The sequence below is a fragment of the Homo sapiens genome, chromosome 18, assembly GCF_000001405.40.
Source record: "Homo sapiens chromosome 18, GRCh38.p14 Primary Assembly".
Taxonomy (NCBI): domain Eukaryota; kingdom Metazoa; phylum Chordata; class Mammalia; order Primates; family Hominidae; genus Homo; species Homo sapiens.
The window spans coordinates 72,863,582-72,882,453 of record NC_000018.10 but is presented as its reverse complement, the minus strand read 5'-3'; the positions used below and the strand labels follow the sequence as shown (position 1 = coordinate 72,882,453).

General features: G+C 41.9%; 1 protein-coding gene and 1 long non-coding RNA gene across 16 annotated transcripts in view; one reads left to right on the top strand and one right to left on the bottom strand.

The window, feature by feature from the left end:
• Nucleotides 1-1,054: 1,054 nt before the first annotated feature.
• Nucleotides 1,055-14,066, bottom strand: NETO1-DT (NETO1 divergent transcript). 2 transcript variants are annotated; one of them, NR_134647.1, is made up of 3 exons: nucleotides 13,314-13,414; nucleotides 2,220-2,367; nucleotides 1,055-1,264 (listed from the first exon to the last, which is right to left on the bottom strand). It is a non-coding gene; the product is annotated as an NETO1 divergent transcript (long non-coding RNA). The 2 variants fall into 2 exon arrangements; NR_134648.1 differs by lacking the exons at nucleotides 2,220-2,367; nucleotides 13,314-13,414 and adding an exon at nucleotides 13,992-14,066.
• Nucleotides 14,067-14,466: 400 nt separating this feature from the next.
• Nucleotides 14,467-18,872, top strand: part of NETO1 (neuropilin and tolloid like 1) — a 125,674-nt gene continuing 121,268 nt past the window's right edge. For 10 of the 14 annotated variants that reach the window (NR_148694.2, NM_001201465.3, NM_001354018.2 and 7 more), the window contains exons 1-3: nucleotides 14,467-15,190; nucleotides 17,213-17,266; nucleotides 17,509-17,646. Coding sequence is in view for 11 of the 14 variants with exons in the window: in NM_001201465.3 (NP_001188394.2) it covers nucleotides 15,163-15,190; nucleotides 17,213-17,266; nucleotides 17,509-17,646 (220 nt within the window). In the remaining 3 variants the exon portion in view is untranslated. Of the gene's footprint in view, nucleotides 15,191-15,254; nucleotides 15,709-16,767; nucleotides 16,882-17,212; nucleotides 17,267-17,508; nucleotides 17,647-18,872 lie in introns of those variants that run through there. The other 4 variants (NR_148695.2, NM_001354020.2, NM_001354022.2 and 1 more) reach the window with 2 other exon arrangements.

Here is an 18,872-nt window from a genome sequence, read left to right as displayed (position 1 = left end):
TTTGCACGTTTAATCAGAAATCTGTTAGACACTTAATTCTGCAATTTAGAATAAAATCAACATATTAGTTTTTCTATAATTTAATGAAAACAAAGGTTTTTTTAAAGGGCATACACCAGCACCTTTTAGGACAATTTATCAAGAATTGTATTCACCCACTTAGGATAGATTATTAAGCTATTCTGATCACTTAAAACATCTTCCTGTTTTACTTTATTATCTTTAACTAATTGTACCTATATGTTTAAAGTGGGGTAGGTATATCAACCAGTTATGGAATTTATAAATTTTTGAAAGTTACAGAAACATGTAATAAGATATCATGATCCTTGAAAACTGGCATCCTCATAAACTCTCTTCTAAAAGTGAGTTTACCTTAAGTGCTCCCTACCCTAAGTCTCTCTTGGGATGTATCATGATCCATTTGTTTTATGTCAAGACGAATCTAAATGAGAAAAATAATTTGATGAGTTTGACTTTTATTGATTTCATGTTTTATTCCATTGATAAATTTAGTAAGCTTCTTTGTGTGTCGATGTGTTATGTCTTAGCTTTCTTTATCAAATGGAGTTTCCTACAACAAAGAACAGCCAAATCTGATTTCATGCTACCTATTTTTCTCTGATGTACTCTTAAAACTTATTTAAAAAGATGACCTGATAGAGTTGCTAACAAATTCTTATCTCACAGAGTAATTGAGCACCTGGAAATTCTCTCTCCACCTAAGCATGGATAACAGTAAATAAACTAACTGACTTCAGAAGCACAGTCAGACTTATGCTGAGTTATATTGAGGATCATAATTGTAAGAAGAATTGACAAATTTCATAATTTCAGATATTCCTAGAATGTATAGCATAGACTTATTAAATAGCTACTACAAAGGACAAGAGTTGAATGAGTTTGGGTGTTTCTATTAAAGGGATCCCCTTAGGGAACACAGTTTTGTATATAATTTGCACTACATAAATGGGAGTTTCACTAGAATAAAACCAAAATGACACAGAAGACATTTTCAAGATTATTAGCTTATCCAAAATAAAACAGAATTCAGTATAAATCGAAGACTTTTTTATTGTTTAAGCAAAGTACAGACTCATTATATTTTAACAATGATTTTAAAAACTATATTGCATCTTTTATTTTTTTCTCCAAATTCTGCTTGTAGTCACTTTAATTTTGCATTTGGTATTCCAGAAGGGCAGATTTTCTGTTCATGCACTTCTATCCGTATATATGTAGTTATGAATCCTAAGTTGTATGCCTAAAATAAAAGAATATGAGTTAAAGGTATACATTAAGAATACATAATAAAAAATACTTATTGCAGAGGGTAACAAGAGCAATGCATTTTATCTTTAAAGTAATGTAAGCTGGGCATAGTGGTGCACACTTGTAATCTCAGCTATTAGGAAGGCAGAGGCAGTGAGCTATGATCACACCACTGCACTCCAGCCTAGGTGAAAGAGTAAGAACACGTTTCTTTTCTTCTTTTTAAGTAATACATAAGTTTCCTAAGTAAAGATAAAACCTTTATTTCAAAAACATGGATAGGACGGTACTTAGTAAATGCTAGACAAATAAGGTATTAAATTCCAACATAAGATTATTTACTAGCTCTTTATCCACATCTATCATCTATCTTTACACCTATATTTTCATTTAATTCTTTTCCCTATTTTACAGACCTAAATTATCAGAAAACAATATTTTAAAAAAGTAATCTGTACTATGAATATTCCTATTTAAGTTGGTCTTGGTTGTGCAAAACATATTCTGTGGCTGTATAAGAAATTGGAAATCATCATTCTCAGTAAACTATCGCAAGAACAAAAAACCAAACACCGCATATTCTCACTCATAGGTGGGAATTGAACAATGAGATCACATGGACACAGGAAGGGGAATATCACACACTGGGGACTGTTGTGGGGTGGGGGGAGGGGGAGGGATAGCATTGGGAGATATACCTAATGCTAGATGACGAGTTAGTGGGTGCAGCACACCAGCATGGCACATGTATACATACGTAACTAACCTGCACAATGTGCACATGTACCCTAAAACTTAAAGTATAATAAAAAAAAAAAGAAGTGTATTTTTGTACAGCACACTGACTCTACATGAATTAACCCAACTGTATAAGTCCATTTTCACACTGCTATAAAGAATACCAGAGACTGGTTAATTTATAAAGAAAAGAGGTTTAATTGACTCACAGTTCTGCATGGCTGGGGAGGCCTCAGGAAATGTACAATCATGGCGGAAGGTGAAGAGGAAGCAAAGCACGCCTTACATACCAGCAGGAAGGAGAGCTCAGGGGAAACTGCCACGCTTAAACCATCAGATCTTGTGAGAACTCCCTCCCTATCATGAGAACAGCATCGGGAACATAATCGGGGAAATGGATTCCATGAGCCAATCACCTCCCACCAGGATCTTCCCTCGACATGTGCATGGGGTTGACAATTTGAGCTGAGATTTGAGTGGGGACACAGAGCCAAACCATATCACCAACATTCTCTCACTTCCTTGCAAATTTACTTTGTTTATTCAATACAGAATATTATTGAAAAGAAAAGATAAAACTAAAAAAAATATTTTATATATGAGCTTTGTTCTTCCCTGGATGACTTTGTCACTTTGAAAAATAATTCAGGAGAAACCAAAATAACAACAAAAGATAAATACCTACTCACTAAGGTGAGTGTTATGACCACAGATTCCCACAAATAATGTATTGGGCATTAATTTGACCATCACCCGGAATTCTTGAGAATCTTCTCTAACATGTGCTATAAACTTCTATAGATGTAATGTTACAAATATTTTCCCATTTTTAAAGTTGAGACAATTTTTCAGATTGTATATAAGGTTTCATGAGGAATTGTCATGCCAGCTATCTAAATTTTATGAGGAATGCCTCATTGAACTTTGAACGTAACATTGTTTTGTGGGGCAAAAGGAGAAAACTGTGTGTGAATATAATAAACTATGTGTTCGGCGTGAGAAAGTATGACTAGTTCTATTTTCCTATTTCTGAACTCAACTTGATAGTAACAGAATTACTATTAATAGCAAAACCTAGATATAAAGGCAGTTACCAGGCTGGGATACAGGGGTGGTGGGGACAAAATATAGGCATCAGTAAGATATTTTTGATGTTGGGGAACTTGCTTGTGACTCAGGATTGAATTAAGCAAGGACACCTGAAGTACGTAAGCACTAATAATAAACTACTATTAAACTACTGGGAGGTTTCCTTGAAACTTCAAGAAAATAATGGCTCTCAGTGAATCTGCTAGAGATGCTGGTTTTGAATGCATATAGCACCCACAAGATCCATTCTCAGGTTCTGCTAATAATCTTTATTTTTTCCCCAGACAGAAACAGAATTTCCCCAGTGAGGACATGCTGAGACTTGAACCTCATAATTGGTTTAGAATCAATCAAGGGAGGTGAGGTCAGATCTTGAGGACAGCAAGTATAGATTATCCTGTATGGCTTTTGCCTTAGGATGGGGAATTACTGGGTTTGAGATGAGGGGAGGCTGCTATTCTCTAGCAGGTGTAGATGAGACACTTGTGCTGATGCAAAGGACTTAGGGGAATCTGAGCGTTCAACATTCTCAAGCACAGCCACCCTGGAGTCTCCACCCCAGGTCTTAACGTCCTACTTCTTCCCTATCAGAGTCTGACTTTAATATAGAAACACTAGAGATAAGACATAAACCAGGGCACACTGTTCTATTTTCTATCCCAGTTTTCCACAGGCAAAAGCCTTAGCAATTGTGATGGGATAACATGCCGGGGCACTGCTGTTCCAATAATCCCATCAATGGAATGCCTGCTCTATACAGGCAGGGAGTGGTCCACATCCAGAATCCAGCCAGGCAATCTCCCTCCTGGGAACACTTTGGGTACCAATTGCCTTTCCCAAGAAAAACAATGACAAAAACCCTGGGATAAGAATTAAGTATAGTTTTTTCGGAGGTTCTTCCAGAATATACTAGCAGAGACTATTGGGAACTGAGACCAGGACAGGAAGACAGCCATGTAACTGTTTGTTATCAAGCACATCAGTACTATGCAAAACTAGTCGGTCACCCTGCTGGGAACTCTGGAGGCCTGCACTATGTGATGGGTGAGGGAGACAAAACCCCAGCAGTCATTGTTTGAAGGTTGTTGGCACTTCTCCCTGCTGTGAGGCTGAGTAAAGTGGGCTCCAGCAGCTAGAAGAAGCCCTTAGAAAATGTCTGCAGTTGCAGGCCATTGGAGATCAGGTCAATGGACCTTGACATATGCCCAGGAGGATAATGCTGGACACAACACCAGAGTTCGGTGCATCTCATTTTGATGCCAAGGCTACACCACCTTCTTGAAATTAGTGTTACAGTTTTTCCTCTTTTTACAAAATTTTCTGGAACACCTTGTAGGCAAAGGGGATTATCACATCCTTAGAAGTACAACATGTCATAAACTTTAGATGTAATATATTTTTGTCCAGGGACTCATTCATTTGTGTATTCGTCCATTCAATCAGCCTGCAGTCACTCGTTTAGGTATTTATTTTGGTGGAGTGAGAGGTAGTGAGCAGAATCAGCAATTCCATTTATTTACGGTTATGGGTATATCAATAAATTATTTTTTTTCTTCAGGAATGTTTGCACTTTACAGTTTTTTTTAAAAAATAACTTTATCCATTTCATCCTGGTTTTCACATTTGTTTACATGCAGTTGCTCATATTCTCTACGCTGTTTTTATCTCTATTTTCTCAGCATTTCATTCTTTATGTTGTTGGTAGGACTTCTATTTTTTTATTGCTCCTCATCATCTTGCTACAAGTTTATCTGGCTAATTTTTTTTTTCAATTAACTAGAATTTACTTTTAATAAATATTCTTCTTCTATTGGTCTGCTTGAGTTCTAGTAATTTCTTTATGTATTTTTCCTTTTTCTTGAGTTTACTATGTGTTCTATACCAAGTATTTAGTGCTGTTGTATTAAAAACTGAAAGTTTTCGTCTAAACCTTACTTTATAACAGGCCACAGATTCAGACATCTGTTGATGAAAGATTTAGATATTTGTTATTATATACTTGTCATTAAACTATACATAGCAAACTTTCACAATTTCATATTTGATCTAAGAACCCTGTATTAAATAACTGTATTATTGTTGTAAGCACTGTTGAATTTTCAGACCTGTGACATTAAGCTTTACTTTGGATATCAGTTTCTAATATTATTATATCTCATAGGATATAATCTGTATGTTAACTCTTTGAACTTACACTTCTTTTGGCAAAAATATATTTATTTTAAATAAATGTATTATAGGAGTTTAAAATGTGTTTATTTTTGTTGAATTTAAATCCCTACTTATCTAAAATAAACTGACTTTTACTCGTATGTTCTTAATATTTGCTAATTTTAAAACCTGTTTTAGTCAGTTTCTGAGAGGACTGTGTTAAAAATTTCCAACTACAATTATTATTTAACACAATGTCTGTTATTTTTCACTCTAAAAAACAATTCGAGGCTAAACTTTAGCTGCATATGTATTTGGGACAATTATATCAACTTGACGTTTTTCCTGACAGTGTATAAGGACATTTTTTTCTTATAATTGTCTTGCTTTGATGCTATTTGCCTAGTATATAATTGTCACCCCAGTATACTTATTTGACGTGGATGTCTTTTCCAAGTCATATATTCTCAATATGTCTATATGTTGTGTTAAATACATACTTTACACAAATGTTCATGAATTTTATTTTAGTTGATAGCTAATCAGAAATATTTTCTCTTCTCACTGAAACATTTAACCCATATAGGTTTATGATTATTTGTATCATTTTTTCATGTTTTCTGCCAGCATACTTTTATTTTTTAAAAGTTTATTTTGCTTTCATGCTTCATTTATTATTATTATTATTTTTACTGGCATATTCCATTGGGCAGGTTAAGTTTTCCTTAGCCAACACGAACATGTAATATTCTGTTTTATTCTCAGATCAGTCACCTAACTTACTAACATACAGCTACGCTAACACTCTTTTCCAATATCTAGTGATATTGAATATCTACCTTTTTTATCCAAGCAAGACAAGAAATTTACAACACATCTCTCCCTTTTCTTCCCATCTTACCCCTCACAATATATATCAATTATTTAGACAATGAATTTTCATAAGACTTTATTCATCTTTACTTCCAGATTGCAATATCCTCCTGAAGTCATCATTCTTCTTGCTATAATATATCATCTAAGTATTTTTTTAAAATTGAGTATATTAAAATATCTTTCTTTTAAAATTTAAGCAATAGTTTACAGGCATATAAATAAATATTAGGTTCAAAAAGTTTTTCTTTAACATCCTGACAGTACAGTTCCATTGATTCTTTTGTGCCCAATGTCATTTTTCCAAAGATGGTTGTCAGTCTAATTCTTGCTCTTTTCTGAAATAATCTGTTTGTTGTTATTACCGTCTTCTTTTCTTTCCATAATCTTTAAGAATTTTTCTCTGTCTTCAATTTTATTAAATGTTATTATCGTGATTCTAGTCATGTATTTTTTGTACAAAATATTCTATTTAGTCCTCTATGCCTGTTTTTGTTTTGAAGTCTTATGATATTGTATAATTATATTATGAAATATCATTAAGTTGAAATATTCCTTTTCCTTTTTCGTTATTACTTTACCCTTATCACTCTGAGATGGCATTATTACAGAACTATCTCTCAGAACGTCCCCACTTATAGCCCTTAGCCTTCTCCAGTTTCCTCCACCAAGGACACGATTCTTCTGTTTCCTACAGAGATTTTCACATTTTTCGTATTGGTTATTGAGCTTGGCTTTGAGGCATATGAACCTTTCTTGACTTAGGTCTCTATCAGCATTGTTATATTAAACTATAAAAGACATATGCTTGATGATGCAGATAGAGACATAAATACAAATATAGGTGTAGACATAGATATTGAAGTAGGTATAGGTACCTGCATAGTTCTGGGTACACTTATAGATATGGATATTAGCCATCTCTAGGCTTGCATGGAACAGCTTCCATATGCTGCTGTTCACAATCATGGGCAGTACTGACCGTGTTAACAAAACATAAATATTTATTTATATATGCTACCACTGTGCTCAGTGCTTTTGATGTCTTCCCATTTAAACTCTTAAATAGTCCTATGTGTTATTAGGACTGTCTTACAGAGGAGAGCGCATAGGCTAAGAAAGTTTAAGTAATTATTATATACCTAGTAACTGATAGACCTGGTATTCAAACAAAATGTTCTTGACTTCAATGCTCTCAACTTCTACACATCATGTTTTAACATTAAGGATTTAACATCGTATTAAGGAACTGTCGCTTTTCTAGGAGGTCAAGTTATTATTATTCAGCTAGGATATTATATTCCCTTTCTACTCATCTATTCTCTCCTTATACTGCATGTGTGTCTATAAATGTGTGTGATTCCAGTAAGACTTTCAATAACTTGATAATCTCTGCTCTCTCTCATTTTTACCATCTTCATGCCATGGGATTTCTGATCCCTGTGCAGTTCCCTACAATGAATTTGCTTTATTTTTCCCCGATAATTGCCCTTTTTTAATATATTTTTTTCTTTTCTTTTTGGGATCAACTGTCATAAAGCTTATTACATTTGGCAGTGGCCTCGAGGCACTCACACTCTGGCTAGAAGTGAGTGACTGGCAACATGCAGAAAGAATGAGGGCTTTCCCTTGAACTCCGGTGAAATCATCTATGTAGCTTCCCCCCCCGGCCCACCTCGCCCCCCTCCCCAGTATGGTAGAAGGTCTTGGATTCTATCAGTTATGGAGTTACCAAAAAAAGTGGCATTATAGAAATCACTGCACTTCTTTTGGCCTCATTTTCTTCATTTAAAAAATGATAAGATACGATAAGATCAAGGATTGCCAACGGAAATACATACATAGGCAGGGCAAGTAAGACCTAACAAATCACAACTATATCCTGTGTGCTAATTAGTAAAAACTGGTGTCTTAAGAGTTTTGATAGAGATGCAAAACTTCATATTAGTGCAAATGAAATGGAAAGTAGTGTGGATATTCCCCCCCTACCACCCCTTTTTTTTTCTGAGGCGGAGTCTTGCTCTGTTGCCTACACTGGAGTGCAGTGGTGTGATCTCGGCTCACTACAACCTCTACCTCCCAGGTTTAAGCAATTCGCCTGCCACAGCCTTCCAAGTAGCTGGGACTACAGGCATGCACCAGCACACCCAGCTAATTTTTGTATTTTTAGCAGAGACAGGGTTTTACCATGTTAGCCAGGCTGGTCTCGAACTCCTGACCTCAAGTGATCCACCCACCTTGGCCTCCCAAAGTGCTGGGATTACAGACATGAGCCACTGCGCCTGGCTGGATATTTCCTACATAGTGTCAGGGAGTTAGTGAGCGTGTTGGAAATTGTGGTGAATTATCGATTGCTTGTGGCTCACGCCTGTAATCCCAGCACTTTGGGAGGCCGAAGCAGGTGGATCACCTGAGAACAGGAGTTCAAGACCAGCCTGGCCAATATGGTGAAACCCCGTCTCTAATAAAAATACAAAAAGTGGCCAGGTATTGTGGTACGTGCCAGCTACTTGGGAGGCTGAGGCAGGAGAATCACTGGAACCCGGGAGGTGGAGGTTGCAGTGAGCCAAGATCGCGCCACTGCACTCCAGTCTGGGTGACAGAGCAAGACTCAGTCTCAAAAAAAAAAAAAAAAAGAAAAGAAAAGAAAAGAAAAAATATATATACCAAAAATTAACTGCATCTATCAATTATAAAACTATAATAGAGAATATTTAAATAATAATTTACTAAAAAGTAAAATATATTTTGCCTTAATTTTTGAAAATTATTGTAACTATAACTATTTGGCAAAAATTCTGCTGCTATATACATTGCTACTTTCTGAAAATATATTATTTGTAAATTTATCTAACCTAAAACTGAAAACAAAGTTAGTTTATGTTTCATATCTTGTCTTGCAAATGTAAATGGAAACATGGTAGGACATTTCCTTACACATATTAATTATAACAGAGAATGGACACTCAAAGAAAGAATAGGTAAATCAGGTAATTAGTGTTTAAAAAAGGAAGATTTTCATTTAACATTTCCCTTCATGCACAAAAGCTTGGTACTCTCCTCAAAATGTATTTAAGTCAGGTAAGTCCTGGATGTTAAGTCCTACCTTAACATCCAGGGTTACTTTCACCAAGCAAATCATGGCTTTTGTTAGTTTCCAAATCCACATAATAATATATCATAATAAGATTAAAGTATGTGCTAAATAGCCAAAGTTATTAAGTTTATGTGATGCTATTAACTTATATAATTATGAAAAAAGGCTGGGCGCTGTGGCTCACACCTGTAATCCCAGCACTTTGGGAGGCTGAGGCGGGCTGATCACCTGATGGTAGGAGTTTGAGACCAGCATGGCCAACATGGCAAAACCCTGTTTCTACTAAAAATATAAAAAAAAATTGTGCGGGCGTGGTGGCGCACACCTGTAATCCCAGCTACTCTGGAGGTTGTGGCAGGCTTGAACCCAGGGAGCAGAGGTTGTAGTGAGCCGAGATCGTGCCACCTCATTCCAGCCTGAGCAACAGGGCGAGACTTCAACACACACACACACGCACACACACACACGCACACACAAAGTATGTCTAACCCATGAGAAACTTTCACATGTCTGATTTAGCACACTGAAGTAACATTTTGTTTGTATTTATTAATGGTTATTTTGACATGGAATATGTAGATTTACCCTTTAGTTTAGCTTATATTTTCCAAATATGCCGTCTTCTAGGAGTGGAAACTTGTTTTTTCCCTGAAATAGCAGTGCGTGGACTTTGTGGTACAATACTTATACTATAAAGGTGGCTTCTGTACAGAGCCTTTACACTTTTAATCTTGGGGTGTATCTTCGTAAATGTTCCTGAAGTTTATGTTGATTTATAGAGGATGAGCTTATAATTAGTCGAGTGATCATAAAAATAATTGGTATTATTTTTATAAGCCACTGCGAAGTAAATATCAATCAAAATGAAAATTTTTTTTCTGAAGTTTTGATATGGATTGAAGGATCATGTATCTGAAAGTGCTAACTGGCAAAGGAAGTGCTATGAAAGTTCTTTCCCACAAGAGGCAAACATTCTTGTGCTGCCTAAGAATACAATATATTTGTACTTCTAACAAAACTATATTTTATTTTTCCCTAGTGGTGATCATAAAATATCCTGTTTGGTTTAAATGTAAGATTTCAGAGATTTTGACAGGTCTTCTATTTCGTGGAGACTTTCTACTGCGTTAGGATACTCCTATAGATTTTTTGAAGAGAGCTTCTTCAATATTGCTTAAAACCAGCTTCATGTTAGACTATTTCAGAGAATTTTCAAAAAACATTCCTATATTTACCAGCAAATTACTTGTTTTTGAGAAACTAGTATTATGACATATATTGTTAAATGCAAAAACCTTTACACTTCACAACCATGTAAATAAATTATGTAAAAATCAGAAAATATTATTGTAATATGGATGTGTCATTAGCACTATTACATTTGAGTTATTTTTTGTAGCATCACCTCTTTTACTGATAGACAACTTTTAAGATGATGCCAGTACTGGAGATTAATTAACAAAGGAGCCCTGGTAGAACTGTAGCTTTATTTTTTCCTATAGAGAAGTACATGTATGTAGACAAATACTATGTGCATTTGAATTAGAAGGGCTTGTACCCTACGCCAATTCTTTTTAGGATTTTGGAAGTCCATATGATCTTTCATTGTTAGGAAGCTGCAAGCTGAGAAATAAAACCAACTTACTAATGACACCTTCATTGGGTTCAAGTGGCTTTAATTCTGCACCATCTTCTATAGTAGTCACTATTTCAATGCTAACCTTGGGGAACTGCGACAAAGCACCATCTTCCAGGATGGCACACTCAACTCACAAAAGCTATCAGTTTATATGCTCTTCCTTTCAAAATAACGACATCATCTTGTAATTTGACCATATGTTTGCGCAACCTTTTCTGGGAGAAACTGAACTTTTCCCATATGTTGTTTTTTCTCAGAAAGAAAAATCTTATGGGTCCCTATTAGGGAGGTAGCATTACTCAGCAAGTGTGGATTCTGGAACTCAAAAATGAGAAGGCAGCTTGCCAAGTAAACAGGATGTAGTGGATGGTGAAAAGCGTGTATGGGTGTGTATGAAGAAAAATGAATGGAATTGTCAATAACAATGCTACACTTGCAGCCTGGAAAGAGTAGGAGAGTGCAGCGCGGGCCTCAGCATCTGTGTTGGCCCAGTCTCTTGGTTGATTATCAGAGCACCTGAGCTAGCCAGGCCTCTGTCCTGTCCTAGGTCCAGAACGTGCACACTCACTCCCTCAGCACTGAGGTTTCAGCAAAATTTAATGCCTCAGCCCCACGCATTGCCCGAGAAAGCACTGGGCATTAAAGATCAGCGGGAGGCCACAGGATCACTTTTGGCCAGGAGTCTGAGAACAGCATGGGTAACATGGCTAGACCCCCTCTCTAAAAAATATAAAAAATAAAAGAATTAGCCAGGCATGATGGCCTGTGCCTGTAGTCCCAGTTACTCCAGAGGCTGAGGTGGGAAGCTCAGTTGAGCCCAGGAAGTTGGGGCTGCAGCAAGCTGTGATCCAGTCACTGCGCTCCAGCCTTTAATTCATTAAAAAAAGAAAAAAAATGGAGACCACTGTTTATGCAAGATATTTGATTTCAAATACAGGCGTGGACAAAAGGTTAGGACCCTTTCACCTTCCTTATGAGTTCCTTCCTAATTTCCTGTGTCCCATAAAAGGACTACTTGTTTAGCAACGTAGCCCCTTCCTTGGCAGGTTACAAAATCCCAGTGTCCTGGGAAACTGTTCTGGGCAAAGAGGACAGAAGAGGGCAGGTGAATGAGAGCATTTATGGTAAAACCAAGTTTTCTCTGCCTTCAAACTGTGATTGAGAAATGCAGTAACTTTCTACAAATAATTTTAAATGTTGCCACTTTCTTTGTAGAACTGTGTCATCTTCACGAATAACGCATATTTTGGATGTAAAGAAAGTGCCATCCAACCATAAGAAAGATTCCAACATTCAACTGTCAACTCTTGCGACTGGTCCTTTTGCAAGACCTCCACCCTCTCCTCTATAGATGACCCGGATCCCCAAAAGCGTTTTCCAAGCATTCTGTCATCTGCATATCCCTCTGTTGAGCAGCCTCACTGATCTTTGAACTCTTTTGCTTCCTTAAGGCTGGAGAATTTCTTCCTCAACTCCACGACGAACATTGCCCACCACCTCCCACCCCGCGCTGGCACGAGCACCTCACGTGGGTCACAGGACTCCCGCGGGACCTTCTGCGTGTTTCCCCTTGATCTTTTTACAAGTAGGTGCGTGGGCGGATACTCACCAATCTCCCTTCATCCGCTCACCTCTCTCCCTTTGCTCAAGCTTGCAGCTCCTCTCACAGGCCTCCAGCTCTGCTGGACTTGGCGTATTCAGAGGCGCGCAGCCTCTCTGTCCTCTTCCCTCTCCCCCATTTCTTCTGTCCTCCGCCTTCTCGTCTCCCTACTCTCTTCTGTCCCCTCATTCTCTCTCCTGCCTCTCTTTTCTCTCCCCGCTCCTCTTTTCCCTTTCTTCTCTCTCTCCTTTCTCTCTCTCTTACCCTGTCCATGTCTTCCCCCTTCTCTCAGCTTTCTCTCTTTAGGTCTCCATCTCGCTCTACTCCCGGGTTGACCCATGACCCAACTTTCATTACACGGATGCACAACACGCGCGCGCGTATATGCGCGCGCACACACAAACACACCATCCCCTTTGCTCGGTCACTTTACCCCACCCTGGAAATCGAGGAACCAGCACTTTGGTGTGGTGGTAGGAGGCTTGGGGGCGCGTGTGAGACTCTGAATCCCTTCCAGACTTGGGGGTCACCTCATCGTCCCTCATCCCAACTTACTGGCAGGAGACCTCCACCCACTCACAGCCGCTGCGCTAGGCGTGGGCAGGACTGCGACGAGCACCCAACGCCCCGCGCAGCCCCGCGCGCACGTGGGCGCCCCAGCAGCAGGTGCCGGGAAGCGGAGGCCGGGCCAGAGCCGGGAGGCAGCCCCCCGGCCTCGAGCGCTCGCCAGACTCTTCTCATGGCCCTTTCTCCTTTCCTCGGCCTTTCGGGGCCACCCTAGTCTTCACAGCTCAGCGTCTGCTGCTGACCCCCCGCCCCCCGGCGACCCCGCCATTGCCATTAGCTCTTCCTACCCCGGCTTCTTCGCCGCCACAGTCCCCAACCCAAGCCCCAGCCGCGGCGCGGGTGTGGGTGGCCGGACGGGATGGCTTCCGTAGTCCCGGGGTCCGGCGGGCTCGGCTGTGGTCTGCGTGGGTCGCGTCCGCAGAGGCCGAGGGAGGGCGGGACGGAGCCGGGAAAGGGAGGAGGTGCCGTTGCGGCGCCCAGGGAGGGACTCCCTGCACCCCCGCGCGCTCCAGCCCTTCCCGGCGCTGCCTCGCGGTTGCCCTTATTTCGTATTCATTGATTCGCATTTTACAAGCCCGGGCTCTTCCGGTGCTGTTTCCCCGCAACTCGTGTCTCCCAGACTTTAACGCGCCGCGCGAGCCTGTAGGAGGAAGTGGCGCGGGGGAACGGGGGTCCGTGTGTGCCTTGGGGTGGTTTTAAATACCTCGAGGTGGGGGGCTCAATTGCAAGAAGCCCGCGTCTTTGCAGGAGTAATTTGGTGGGGGGACTGGACATCAGGCCCAGTGCTCAACCGCGAAACTTTTACGGCCGCCTTTCCCTGGGGCGCGCCCCTGCCGTGTCTCCCAAGCTGAGCGCGGAGTCCGCGGCGAAACCTGCGCCCCAGGGAGGGAGGGAGAGGGGGCGCCCAGTTCCTTTACGCGGATGGAAAAGAAGGGGTGGGAGGCAGAGAGCCCGCAAGGTCTAACCTTTAAAAAGTGAAACACCAAACCCCACAAGGGATTTTCACACGAAGGCCCCTCCCGCTTCCACGCCTTCCGTCCGGCACGAGGATCCGGCTCGGGATTTGCGGCTGCATCCTCTCTCTGCGCCCTGGCGGGCCGAGCCGCGGATCCCAGCCGGGTCCTCACCCCCTCCCCGCCCCTCCCCCAGATCCGCGCGGCTGGGATGTCCTTGCTGCCGCCGCCGCGGCCCCATTCTGCCGCGCACCAGCCCCGGGGCGCCGGCCGCGCGCAGCCTCGCTATCCCACCCAGGCTCCGGGCTTCCAGGAGGGTCGTGGAGCCCCAAGCCATGACTAAGGAGCCCATTTGGTAACTCTGCCCTCTTCCGGCTCCTTTCTCCTCCCTCCCTTCCCCGCCCCCCGGCCCCCCCCCCGGCCGCCCCGCTCCCCTGCACCGCCCTCCAGCCCGCCTCCCAGACGCCCACCCACCCGCTCCTCTTTCCGCAAGATAGCAGAGGTGGCGCGCAGCCCGGCGAGCCGATGACGGACCCCTTCTTCCTGCCTTCAATGCCTCAGCGGAAGATCCCCAAGGGCTGGAGCGAGGAGCGCTGCCGCTGGACATCCTCCCGGGGAGGCTGCTCCGACCTGCTGCGCGGCGCGTCTGAGACTGGGGACTGAGCCACCCCGCCGCCGCCGGCGCCGCCGCCGCCGCCCGCTCCGTCGCTGCCGTCGGTCTGGACTGGCCCCCACCTCGCTGCGCCCTCTCCCCGGCCCCGGCCCCGGCTCGGGGCGTCCCGGGGCTCGCCCTGCGACCGCCGCCTCCCGCGCGCCGCGTCCTCCCGACCCCGCGGCGGCGACGATGCCCGGGAGGAGGGTCCTGACGGCGGCGGCGCGGATGGTGGCGGCCGGCGCCCGGGTGTGATGCGAGCGTCACGGTGGGGATGCTGCTGGCTGCGCGGCGCTGAGGGCCAGCGAGAGCGAGAGCCCGCCCGGGGCGGAGGACGGACTCATCCGGATCTGGCTGCAGCGTGGGCTCGGAGCTCCCCCTTCCTCTCGGTCTCCCTCTCGGCCCCCCTTTATTTCCTTCTTGCTTTGCGTCTTTAACACCTCTCGACCCTGTCCTCCCCCCGCCACTGGAAGTCTTCCCGTCTCTAAATGGAATTAGTGGAGCCCGGAGCCTCTGGTGTAACGCACAGACATGATCCATGGGCGCAGCGTGCTTCACAGTGAGTACCCTCCCCGCCGCGCCCGTGCGCTCCCGGAGCCAGCCCTCCCGCCCCTTTCCCGGGGCCGAACGCGCAGGAAAAGCCTCTGCGCCGCGCTCCGGCGGACCCTGCAGTCCCGCGCGGGTCGGGGCCGACGTAAACTTTCTGTATTGCAGCATCGTGGAACCGGGCGTGGGGGCGGCGCGCGGTCAGCCGTCGCCGGATCCCAAAACCTGCCGGAGAACGGTCTTTCAGTGCGCAGGAACCCCCCGGGGGTGGAGGATAGCGTGCAGTTCAGGGATGGACACGTGCGGCAGAGATTGGCCCAAGCGAGGGCGCAGGTGGAAAGCGGGAGAGCGCGGATGATACCTAGTGGGGCCAGAGGAGTCTTCCTCTTCTAGGGGCTCCCGGAGCTCGGCGGGCCCCTGTTCGCAGTACAGGAGGTAGCAGAAGGCACACCTGAAGCCAGCGCTGGAGGGAAGGGCGAGGGTCAGCTTCCACCCCTTTCCGCCCTGGAGACCGCTGATGTCGCTTTATGGGTGTGTGGTAACGCGGGCAGTGTAGAGGTGGGAAGGAATGAGAGGAAAATAGTATCACGAGTCATCGAGTAAAAGGCAGTATAAGAAAATGTGTGGTGGAAATGTATCATTACTAAGCAAAGATGAGAGTGTTGATCGCGGGCCACGCAGTTGAGAGGGGTTTGCTGCTGAGTTAAACACAGTACGTGGTCTATAATGTGATTTCATCAAAACAGGAAGAGCGGAGTAAACAAATACACATCCTGATGCTGAAGGATGTGCATACCTGTGTGTTCTGGGTGTGAGCAGAATCATGACAAATTAAATTGATTTTTTTTTTCCTGTGGAAACACACAGTAACAACAGCAGCCAGTGCCTTAATTTAAAATGCAAATGAACTGGCTAGAGCATAAAGTAACACACAATTGACAATATTTTAAATATTAATATCAAGACCTAGATACGTTTCTTAGAGTGATGTTTAAGTATAAATGTATAAGCCTGTGGTGAGCTTTAATTCAGGAAATATTTGTGAATTGTTCTCTCCCCCGAATTCATTTTAAGTGAAAATGTGAAAACATAGACCTTTTATGTCGTTGGATGACAAAATGAATAAGAAAAAATAGAAGAAAAATCAAATTATGAAGACTAGCTTACTTACTATTTTGCTAGTGTTTTGTCTTGTAAAAATGTTGATTAGATCAAGAATACGGAAGTAAAACAAGTTTAGATTATAATGGCATTGCAGATTTACTGTTAAGTTACAGATCACAGTCTCTTTGACACTGGAAACCTGACCCAATATAATGCTTTCGGAAATCACGTTTCTCAAATTAATAATCAATTTCTATATATTGATTTGGTATTAAATCAAGTTAAGGTTAGAAGAGATTAATTTCACAGCTTAGAAAGTGCTGAGGGACGGGGTTACTTGGAGGTTCAGAACATTTTTGTAGGCAACATTCCAATAATGGTGCTTAATGCCCACAATCCACATTAATCTGTTTCTTGCTTATTCTCCTCCTCCACAGTCTGTAGGATTTGTCTAAGTATTTATTTTCTAAAATACAGCCACACTGCAGTATGTCAGGAACAGTCATGGAGCTGTTCTCATTGTTTGCCTCTCCTTTTCCTCCTTTTTACCTTCTGGCCCCTCTCTTCATTCAGAGATGCTGGCAGAGCCATTCCCTAAGGGTAGTTTAGATACAGTGTGACTCCTGTAGTCCCACTGTACTGTGTGTGACATGAGTAAATTGACATGTTGCCTTTAGAGTGAATGATGTATTTGCCTTAGGAGTTTGGGTCTCATCCATTCTTAACTTGCATTAGTTCCTTAAGGGAGTCCCAAGGTTTCCTGATTTGTACATTTCAAATTGGTTTTTGCAAGTTCTGAATCGACTTCTAACAGTTAACAATGAAAAAATTAATCTGCTTTGATATTATTTTATCTTGAAATTATGTTATGTTTTTATGGGATTTGATCATTTCAGTGTATTTTATCTCTAATTTTTCTTTTCTGTTTCAGTTGTAGCAAGTTTAATCATCCTCCATTTGTCTGGGGCAACCAAGAAAGGAACAGGTGTGTTTACTTAGAAAAATGCTAGTGGAAGACCTCGAATTATTTTGTATTTTCCTATTTTCCTCCTACTGTTAATATTCCAGAATATCTGAACCTGTTATAATATGTATAATTGATTGGTTTGGCTAAGACAACATTTAAAAATTAATTTACTAATGGATATTATAAGAATGTCCTCTATTTTTAGTACAATAGAAAATTGGATGATGGCTCTTTTTAAAACTTTTTTTTTTTTTTAACAGAAAAGCAAACCACCTCAGAAACACAGAAGTCAGTGCAGTGTGGAACTTGGACAAAACATGCAGAGGGAGGTATCTTTACCTCTCCCAACTATCCCAGCAAGTATCCCCCTGACCGGGAATGCATCTACATCATAGAAGGTAAGGGGAGACAGTGCCAGAGTTAAGAAAGCACTAAGCCAAAACCTTGCCATCTCTGTGCTTTGGATGAAGAATATGCGTATAGGCATTACAAAATTGATCTGGAGATCATGCGCAAAAATATCTCTTGAGTGAATCAATAACTGTAAAATCTGGAATCAGGCTAATTATTGAGATTAACTAGTAGTGGGTTATGAACAAGCAAATTCTGTGCAATAAAAACAGATGAACAACTTAGGAGTTTATTTTGCTGTTGGCTTAATTGATTTAGAGTTCTCATGCAGTAGAATGGACGCATAGTTGGCACAATATTAACTGTGTAAGTGTGAGAAACTAGCATTTTTTTAGCTCAACAATTAGTAGAATAACTTGCATGTTACATTTCTTTAGTATTATAAATTACAAAAATCGTATTAATGTCAAAGATGAATCTATAATCACATTTTCTAAACACCAATCTGAAAGATAGTTACCTTATTTGTGTTAACAAGTGACATCTCATTTTGAAGTCAAGGTCAGGATTGTAAATTATGACCCTTTATTTCATGACTTTTTTCCAACATGAAAGATAAATGGTGTTGGAAAGAGACTTCTCTTTGAACGTTTCCCATTTACACTAACCTTGTAAACACTTTTTTTTTTTGAGACAAAGCGAGAGTCCCCTGAGTTCCAGCGATTCTCCTGCCTCAGCCTCCCGAGTAGCTGGGATCACAGGCATACGCCACCATGCCTGGCTAATTTTTGTATTTTTGGTAGAGACGGCACTTCACGATGTTGGCCAGCTGGTCTCAAACTCATGACCTCAAGTGATCCACCGACTTTGGCCTCCCAGAGTGCTGGGATTACAGGCGTGAACCATGGCTCCCGGCCAACACCTCTCTCTTAAGTACAACGTTTAAAATGTAGAAGCATTTCATCTGGTGATGGAAGTTTTCAGTATTCCAACTGTTAGTACCTAAATAGCCTAAAACCTGGAAGCACCCACCTTCCCCCCACACACACACACAGGCAAGACTGTCTTAATGATAAAGATAGATGCACTTTCTACTACTTATAAATGGGGACACATTTATTTGATAGATTTTTCAAAGAAGCAGGCTTTCTGTTCACCCAATTTTAAGACTCTCTATTTAGAAATGATTTTTTTTTTGGTAATTATTGGGCCAAAGATCTTCCCCCACCCTTACTACTTGAAGTTGAATTTTCAGCAAAGATAAACCACACTG